This window comes from Homo sapiens, chromosome 6, assembly GCF_000001405.40.
Source record: "Homo sapiens chromosome 6, GRCh38.p14 Primary Assembly".
Taxonomy (NCBI): domain Eukaryota; kingdom Metazoa; phylum Chordata; class Mammalia; order Primates; family Hominidae; genus Homo; species Homo sapiens.
Genome location: NC_000006.12, coordinates 113,755,146 through 113,765,336, shown reverse-complemented (window position 1 = coordinate 113,765,336; position 10,191 = coordinate 113,755,146). Strand labels below are relative to the sequence as shown.

General features: G+C 39.6%; 1 annotated feature.

Annotated features, from left to right (window-relative positions):
* Positions 9,326 to 9,605: an enhancer, noted in NCBI's record as "active region_24970". NCBI's record gives its function as "activates an Ori minimal core promoter by ATAC-STARR-seq in GM12878 lymphoblastoid cells {active_cell/tissue: GM12878}" and the evidence as "EXISTENCE:reporter gene assay evidence [ECO:0000049][PMID:35858748]".

Sequence of the window (10,191 nt, the reverse complement as noted above, 5' to 3'; positions counted from 1 at the left end):
GAATTCAGTTAGCCTTCTTCATTGCCTAATGAAGACATATTAATAGATAGGTCGGTATCTCCTCCGGGATGCTATCTCTGACTCTGCAAGGTGTGTTAGGTGTTCCCCAGGGTCCCTGACCTCCACAGTGCTTTATAAATGCCAGTGTGTGTGTGTTGGTTACCCCTACTAGTCTGAGGTCTCTGGGGCAAAAACAGCTAATATACTATCTCTAGCATATATCACAATGTCACATAGTATACACTTAGTAAATCCTTGACAAATGGATGTCTTTATTTTTAGAAGATGAGACCTCACAACCTAAAGACAGAATAATCCTGTGTTCTGGCCAGGCGCGGTGGCTCACGCCTGTAGTCCCAGCACTTTGGGAGGCTGAAGTGGGCTGATCACTTGAGGTCAGGAGTTCAAGACCAGCTGGCCAACATGGTGAAACCCCATCTCTACTAAAAATACAAAAATTAGCCAGGCGTGGTGGTGGGTGCCTGTAATCCCAGCTAATCAGGAGACTGAGGCAAGAGAATTGCTCGAACCCAGGAGGCTGAGGCTGCAGTGAGCCAAGATCGTGCCACTGCACTCCAGCCTGGGGTGACAGAGCAAGACTCCATCTCAAAAAAAAAACAAGAAAGGCCAGGCGCGGTGGCTCATGCCTGTAATCCCAGCACTTTGGGAGGCCGAGGCGGGTGGATCACGAGGTCAGGAGTTCAAGACCAGCTTGGCCAAGATGGTGAAACCCTATCTCTACTAAAAATACAAAAAATTAGCTGGGCACGGTGGCAGGCGCCTGTAGTCCCAGCTACTCAGGAGGCTGAGGAAGGAGAATCATTTGAACCCGGAGGGTGGAGGTTGCAGTGAGCCGAGATCGTGCAACTGCACTCCAGCCTGGGTGACAGAGTGAAACTCCGTCTCAAAAAAAAAAAAAAAAAAAAAAAAAGAAAAGAGAAAAAAGAATAATCCTGTGTTCTGATTTGACTGGAAATTCCCCCATTTCCATCTGTTGTTGCTGCACAATTATTAGTGGTGCCACATTTTATTCTCAAAACGTTCCCAGTTTGGATAGTAAATTATACAGTACTGACTCAAAGAGGCTTCTGGAGTCTCTCCGATGTTGGTGAAGGAAAGACTTCCCTTGAACCTCTGACCCTCTGACCCTCTCTCCTCTCGTAGCAAGAGTGCTCATGAGTAATTCTAGCCTGGGAAACTCACCTTTCACAAGGTGGTGGGGTGGCTGTTAAAGGAAATTTCACTTACAGTGTCCCAGTGAGCCAGGATGTAGTGCTGAATCACCAGCAGCATTTCTCAAAAGGGAGTTAAGAAATGACTTCCCATTGACTCAAGGGGTGTGGGGCTTTCACTTGTCCATGGTGACTAGAAAGGAATTGCCTGGTTAACTTTGACTTATGTTGAAAGGTGGCTTCAGTTTGCTCTCAAACCCATTCCCCACTGATCTCCAAGGGTCTTCAGAGTGTTGCCCTGTTGTAGAGGTTTTTCAGAAAGTATTGGCTAGTGAGTGCTCTCAGGTTGTCCTCTGGAGGAGTTTGAACTGGGGCAAATTTGGGTTAGGACTAAATTGTAAATGAGCTCATCTCTAATGTTTGCACTTAGTTGGAAAAACAGGTTTAAAAGATATGGGAAATCAGTCTGTCAGGATCACCCAAGAAAGGAGTTTCAAGGAATGTGTCATCACCTCAGATAGTCCTGCCAATCTCCATTTTTGGAAGTAAACAGAGACTTTCTTTGCCTTTTAGCTGGTCTTTCTAAATTTTCAAGGCCCAGTATAAGTCCTGCTTTGTCCAAGAAACTTTTCCGGGGCTGCCTCAGACTGTCTCATCTGTTCTTGACAGCTGCTTCTCCCCAGTATCTGAGCTCACCTTCATCTTTTAAAATTACTCATCTGGGAATTCCTCTTCAATGATAATGATCTTTAATACAGCACTTATATGTGCCTGAGTGCTTTGCAACAATCATTTTTTCTAATCTTATCACCAAGTAAGTAATATTCCCACATTTTAGAGGTAAAGAAACACAGATAACAGTGCCTTGTGTTTATGTTCCTAGCATTATATCACCTCTTCTCACTTGGCCTGTAAGTCTCTCAAGAACTGAAAACAGGTTTCTTACTCCTTGATATTTCACTTTCCCCCCAAAACAGTTAAGAACTCAGAGGAGCAAGTTGTCCATGACAATGGCTGATTTTACTTCTTATCTACTCCATGAAGACAGGAGTTTAAACATAAATACATTTAAGTGCCACATAGGCCATCTTTTAAGCCCTGGAAACTACCTTGAGTCAGGAAAATAAATTCAGGGTGAAGAGAAGAGATGGTAAATATGTGGGACTTGCCATTTTGAGAGTCCATCAGTGTTGCTTTTGAAACACAGGAAGCTTTGCTCAGCATTTGTTTAAAAGAGGAAGAAATGTTTAAAATATTAAGCACATTGTGACAATTTGAATATTCCCTGGTTGATTTCCTGCATTACATCTTTGAAAATTTCCTGATTTTCATATGTATTCCAGTGCTGAGTGGTATTTCCTGTGTCAGCCTAAAAAACGGGATTTTTCTCTTAACGGGAAACATCAATATCAGCATCAGCTGCAGGGACTGAGATGTTGAAATGGTGACTACATTCAAACCCATATGAATTTTGATCTTAAAACAAGCCACACACACTGAATAAGTGTATAAATGTGTATGAAATAAGTATGAGTACCTTATCATACATTTAAACCCGATTTTTGTTGACAAGAATATTTCCTTTTAAAGTTCTTTAACTCTTGCCTTGAAGAGTTGACCAAAGATCATTTTTGTGGTTTTTCTTTTTTTTGCCTTAAATACTCAAATTGTCAGATATCATGTGTGAAGATACCATTCAGAGCAGAATAATGAAAATTACAGAGGGAAAATTAGGTCATTTTTTCTCTCATTTTAAAATACAGGCTATATCTTTATAGAATACTCTCATATGTATTTTTCCATTCTTGTTTAAAATTATATGTGTGATGGAGACATTACCAGTTCCCCTGGGAGATTATTTCACAGAATCACGGACCTTGCTACAGGTATTTTTTTTTTTTCACTAATTTTCAAACTAAAATTTCTTTTGCTCAATTTCATTCCATTATCCCTTGGACCACCTGTACAGTTCTGCACAGAAGGTTGCAAAACGGTCTATTTGATAGGAAATGAAGCCCTCTGCCAAAGTGCATTAAGGAAAAAAAAATGATATGGAGTCTCATGTTGATGATAGCTACAGAATATAAATTTGAAGAGGAAATTCCCAGGTCTTAATTGCTCAGCAATAATCAACCCTCTTGTATTTTAAATTCAGTTGAATACTTCTTTTTTTCCGAAGAATTGGGGGAATTCTGGTTTCCAAAAAGAGCAAGGTGTGGGATGTGTGTGTGTGTGTGTGTGTGTGTGTGTTAGAGCTGCATAGAAAAAATAAAAATATATTAAAGATTCCTCATACCCTTTGGCTCTGTGCTCCTTCTAGGTTTTTTTTTTACTTTAGATTTGGTACTTCTCCCATCCTTTCTCATCATCAAGATAGCAAAAACAACAGAAAGTTATCTACATATACCCTTCACCTTTCAATACAGAATACTGCAAATAAGAATTTGGAGAACTAGGTTTACTTAGTTTTGATGTGCATAAGCCTACTTTCTCTATTGCATGTTTATTAAAATAGCATAAACAGGCATTGTGATTGTGGCATTTCATAATTGCAGAACTAGATTGGAAAAAGATTCATAAATATCTTTATAAGTAGGTGTAAAAAATGTCAGTTCCCTTCTTTGGGGCACATAGCACGCCTCTCATTTGTGGGAAAATAAATGAAATATGAGATTTGATCCATTTGGGTTGTCTTGAATTCATTCACTTGTATGTTAATCTTATATCACTGTGTTCAGTCTGGCCTCATATTTTATCCATAATCTAGACCTTTCCAGTCTACCATATTCTAGTGCCACTGACCTTGAGACACTAGCTGTGTTTTATTGGTCTCTATTATCCACCACTGAACCCACTGCCTGGCAGATACCAGGTGCTTTGTTGGATAATTCAATAACGAATCATGCACAATTTAGAAAAAAAATCCAGTAAGGGCAGTTATATACCTAGTATTTTTGATGCCCACTGCTGATCATTTTTAATACTGCCAGAGGAAAAATATATTTCTTAATAATCATGATATGAAATGAGTAATAGCCAGAAAAGAAACATAGACAATACAGTTGCATTAAATTTAATATATGTAATCATGCAAGTAAATGAATTAAAAACGAAAATAAAACAAATATAGAAAAAAGTATTTAATTATATGTATAAAATTAATATATAATACATAAGTAATATATAATACACATTAATTAACATATAACACATCTATAAATAAGATGATAATAATATATACTACATAATAATATATAATACATAACAATTAATATATAATACATAATTTCTTGAGAAAAAATATGGATTCAAAACAATAATTGTGATACTACTGTGTACCCTGTTCCATTAGTTTAAACTTTTAAACATGAGTAACTCTAAGTAGTTATATAGAGGCAAAATTGAAGTCACTCAATTTTTTTTTTGTCTTCACAATTATTGTTTTGAATCCATATTTTTTTCTCTTTGTTTTTTGTTTTTTGAGACAGAGTTTTGCTCTTGTCACCCAGGCTGGAGTGCAATGGCGCGATCTCGGCTCACTGCAACTTCCACCTCCCGGCCCTTCAAGCAATTCTCCCGAGTAGCTGGGATTACAGGTGCCAGCCACCACGCCCGACTAATTTTTGTATTTTTTTTAGTAGAGATGGGGTTTCACCATGTTGGCCAGGCTGGACTTGAACTCCTGACCTCAGGTAATCTGCCTGTCTCGGCCTCCCAAAGTGCTGGGATTACAGGTGTGAGCCACGGTGCCTGGCCCATAGTTTTAGACATATGAAGCTGTATACCCTAAGTGCTGGAGACATTAACTGTTCTCCAGGTGAGCTCAAACGATTCTAAATAATTTTGAATTTGCTCTCAAAACAAATGAGGGCAGCTAAGTCTCTGGTATACAAATGGAAATTCTTTGACTTCCACAGAGAATACAATGTTTATTTTTTTTATTTATGCCTTTTTTTTTTGAGATGGAGTCTCCCTCTATCATCCAATACAGTGGAAAGATCATAGCCCACTGGAACATCAACCTCCTAGGCTCAAGCGATCCTGCCACCCCAGCCTCTTGAGTAGCTGGGACTACAGATATGCACCACCTCACTGGCTAATCATTTTAATTTTTTAAAAAATTTTTTGTAGAGATGGTGGTCTTGTTATGTTGCCCAGGCTGGTCTCTAACTCCTGGCCTCAAGCAATCCTCCTACCTCCTAAAGTGCTGGGATTACAGGCATCAGCCACCAGGCCCAACTCATGTTTATTAATGAAAAATATATTCTCTATGTATGTGAAGATTACATATATATTATTAAAACTCAACAGTAACCACATAATTGTTTAGAACTTGGATCAACAAAAAATATTTTGCATAGGAGCAGTATTTTATCATTGGCAATTTAGAATTGGCAGAGCATAGGGAAAATAAAAAGCAGAGTGACTTTATTTTAGTTTATTATTATTTTAAAATTCATCTTAATTATTTTAAAATTTAAAAATTCTCCATAAAAAATAAATTGCTTTTTCCGGAGGCAGACCTCTCCCATTGCCCTGTCCCTGGCACACCAATGTCATCTTCCACTAATTTTCCTTTGAACACAATTTTATTTAAAAGTGTTAAAAATCCCAAGTTATCTACTCTTGTTTGATTTCCATGGTTAGCAGGTATTCAAGAAGTATTTTTTCAAATGCCTGACCAGGAGAGAGCATGGAGATGGGTAAGATCCTGCAGACTGGAGCTATGGGCAGACAGGGAGTAGCATGCCAGCAGTAAACAGGGCATCAGCAGTTTAGGAAAGGAAGTAAGCAGTATGTTAAGTTCTTTTGGTGATTGCTCTGGGGTAGGGGTGAGAAGAGCAGAAACAAGTCAGTTTTTCTAGGCTTAACTTCCCATCTCATTCTTTTAATTTCTGCCTTCGACCAGGGTTAGCCATACACATTTTCCCCATTCTGTTGCCCAGTTCCTAAGACCCCTCCCACTCTTCCTTCTGTAGCTTATCTGCTTCTGTCAGGCAATTCCATAGTGAAACTGTGCAAAACAGTGAAAACACTAAACTGCATCTCAGGGTCATCCAGAACATTTTGAGTTCTTTACATTAAAGTCTTCCTTTTTTTTCTCTTCTGAGGCTCACTTTTCTCTGGCTGTCTTGGAGTTAGGAGGGAAAATCCCTGCTATCTTTTGCAGGCATTTCTTGTACACTTCCTCTCCAGACAGAGCAAGGGTAACCAGTAAGTACAGTTATTTGAGATGACTCTTAGTCATTCTGTTTTAGTCCTTCTCACTCTGCCCAAGAGAAGTCTCATACAAATTTATGAGACTGCCTTGTAACCTGTTTAAATCTGACCCCTCCATCTCTCACTCATTAATTAAAAATAGAATTTCAACATACCCATTAGGATGGCTAGTACCAAACAAACAGGAAATAACGAGTGTTGGTGAGGATATGGAGAAATTGAAACCCTTGTGCATTGCAAGAGGGAATACAAAATGGTGTAGCCACTATGAAAAATCATATGACAGCTCTTAAAAAATTAAAAATAAAATTAATATAGGATCCAGCAACTTCGCCTTTGGGCACATACCCCCCAAAATTGAAGCAACGTCTGTAAGAGATACAGATACATGGATTGAAAATACAGTATTCAAAAGGTGAAAGCCACGTATATGGAAGGCCAACTTTTTGTGTACACGGGTCTCTCAGGGCTGACTGTGGGACTTGAGTACGCACAGATTTTGTTATATGTGGGTTGTGTGTGTGTCTTGGAACCAATTCCTGGCATATTCTGAGAATCTGTTGTATTTGTTTTTGTTTGTTTGTTTTGTTTTAAGAGGAGTTTCATTCTTGTTGCCCAGGTTGGAATGCAATGGCGCAATCTGGGCTCACTGCAACCTCCACCTCCCGGGTTCAAGAGATTCTCCTGTCTCAGCCTGCACCACCAAGCTCAGCTAATTTTGCATTTTTAGTAGAGATGGGGTTTCTCCATGTTGGTCAGGCTGGTCTTGAACTCCTGACCTCAGGTGATTTGCCCGCCTCAGCCTCCCAAAGTGCTGGGATTACAGGCGTGAGCCACTGCGCCTGGCCGAAACTGTTGTATTTGTACACCCACATTCACAGCAGCATTACTCACAATAGCCAAGAGGTGGAAGTAGCCTGAGTGTCCATTGATGAATGAATGGATAAACAAAATATGGTATATACTGATAATGGAATATGATTCAGCCTTAAAAAGGATAGAAATTCTGACAAATGCTACAACATGGATGAACTTTGAGGGTGTTATGCTGAGTGAAATAAGTCAGGAAAAAAAAGACAAATACTCCATGATTCTACTTACATGAGTGGTCAAATTCATAGAGATGAAAAGTAGAATGGTGGTTACCAGGTGCTGGAAGGAGTGAGGAATGGGGAGAATTGTTTAATGGGTACACAGTTTCAATTTGGAAAGACGAAAACATTCTGGAGATGGATGGTGGTAATGGTTACACAAACAATGTGAATGTATGTAATATTGCTGAACTGTACACTCTTGAAAATGATTAACATAGATTTTTATGTATAATTTACCACAATTGAAAATAAAACTTCAAGTTTGATTTTTACATGTCACTTTTACTATAAGAGAACAGAAAACTATTTTAGGTGAGTTAGAGTCTGATGGTGTGGACCACACGATTTTGCTTATCCCAGGCAAGTTTTAAAATAATGCTTGGTAATGGGGGTGGTTTAAATAAGACATACAAATGAATGGCACCACTGTCACCTTAATTCCTTCCAGGTCAAAGAGGACAATAGAAGAATAAATCAGGAAAGAAAATGGCCACTACTATCTAATGGGATGGTATATGTATTAGTCTGTTTTACGCTGCTGATAAAGACATACCTGAGACTGGGCAATTTACAAAAGAAGGAGGCTTTTTGCACTTACAGTTCCATGTGGCTGGGAAGGTCTCACAATCATGGTGGAAAGTGAAAGGCACGTTTCACATGGTGGCAGCAAGAGACAGAATGAGAGCCAAGTGAAACGGGTTTCTCTTTATCAAACCATCAGATCTCGTGAGACTTATTTACTACCACAAGAATAGTATGGGGGAACCGACCCCATGATTCAATTATCTCCCACAGGGTCCCTCCCACAATATGTGGGAATTATGGGAGTACAATTCAAGATGAGATTTGGGTGGGGACACAGAGCCAAACCATATCAGTATACTGTGAGACCAAGGGTTTATACTTGAAGCCCCTGGGTTGTATTTACTGTGCATTGCAGTCTTCAGCTCCTGCTGCATCTTAGTTGAGGCTACTCATGCAAAATGATTTTTGGTAAAATGATTTTTGGTAAATGACTCTGATCAAAATTAGATGCTATGTGAATTAAAAGCAATATTTTAAAGAACAGAGGACTTCAAAACTGTAATGTGATATACATCTTTTGACATTTAGGATACCAGGCCAGAGGTAGCATGGGTTATTAGTAGAAGAAAGCTATGATTACCATAGATACTATTTGGCAATAAGAAATAGCAATAAAGATGGTTTAAGTCTTTCTTCCCTAGGGCTCACGTATGTAATAATTTCTTTTCACAATATACCAAGAAAGTAGGAATGAGTATGATTATCTCCACTTTATAGTAGGTGAAACTGAGGAAGCAAGAAATAATTTGGGCGTGAGGCAGTGACTCATGGACAGGGTTGGAAGTTAAGAACAGGCTTCTGGAGTCCTGGTCCCAGGGCTTTCTGGCTATAAATAGCTTGCCTTCTGTTCTGTTGATCCTGTTCAACAAAGCTGTACCCCCAAATCTCAAAAAACAGTCACAGTGGGCTCCTCTCATGAGCTTTCTGAGCAGAGAAGCCATACAAGGAGATTGGAACTTTCAAGTCCTTCCAGAGGTGAGTGAACAGGTGGATGAGGGTCATGTAACTTCAGTGTCAGTTGAGGAACCTCAATTTTCTTGACTGTCACATGATAGTGTTTCTAACTTTATTTGAGCAAGAAAAAAAATAGAACCTCAGTGAGCTCCACTTTCTTGGCTTGGAAGCCACAAACCCCATTAAGTACCCTCCAGAATAAGTGGCTCTTCTGTGTTCGGGAAGAGACCACCCCGTGACCAAGAGAAGGGGTTTCACAACATGCAGATGGAGGTTTCAGAAGTCCTCAGCTGGAGCAACTAAATATGACTGAGACAACACAGTCCCACAGACAAAGGTCAGACCTATTTTAATCTCTGAGTGAGGTTATTACTCTGGGACAAGGCCCTTTTTGTCTGATTTCTTGCTATTTTCAGTGATTCACAAGCTTAAATCTCTTTCATCTGGGAGTGCAGAGCCACATCTCCTCTTTCAGACTTGTCTGTGAGTTAATACAGTTCTGATCTTCCATCTTCTTGGAGTATCTTCTTACAGCCATAGAATTCCCCATGCTGTGAGCCTAGAGGAGTCCCTGGGGAAGCAGAGTCAGGACAGGCTTGCAATGCAAACCCCTGGGGAAGATTTGGAGGATTAGCAGGAAGTGGGGTGACTGCTTGCTTGGATGGTCCCACAGCGGCTTTGAACCAATAACGCAGCAGGTTATGGGGGCTGACCTCTTGAAGAAATGAGCAGAGCTCTGGAAGCCTTCCACATCTCAGTCATATGTATGCTTTCCCTGTACTGTCTGCTGAAGTATACATATGTCAGTGTTTTGGTCAGAGTCATTTTATTAATAGTATTCAATGAAGTTAGGATCAAAAAGGCTCCCATAGTTTCTTGATGGTACAGGCCTCATGTTCAATTACTACTAATTACTGGTCCACTTGGAATACTAGGAACTTGGATTGCCCTTATATTTTTGTGTTATTTCTCCATAGTGAATGCTGCATTACGGAGGCCTGCTTGCCCAGTTTTTACATATCCTATGGTTTGTGAGTTTCCTACTTATCACCTTTTTCTTTTTCTTTCTTTTTTTTTTTTTTAGATGGAGTCTCGCTTTATCTCCCAGGTTGGAGTGCAGTTACCCGATCTCGGCTCACTGCAAGCTCCGCCTCCCAGGTTCTTGC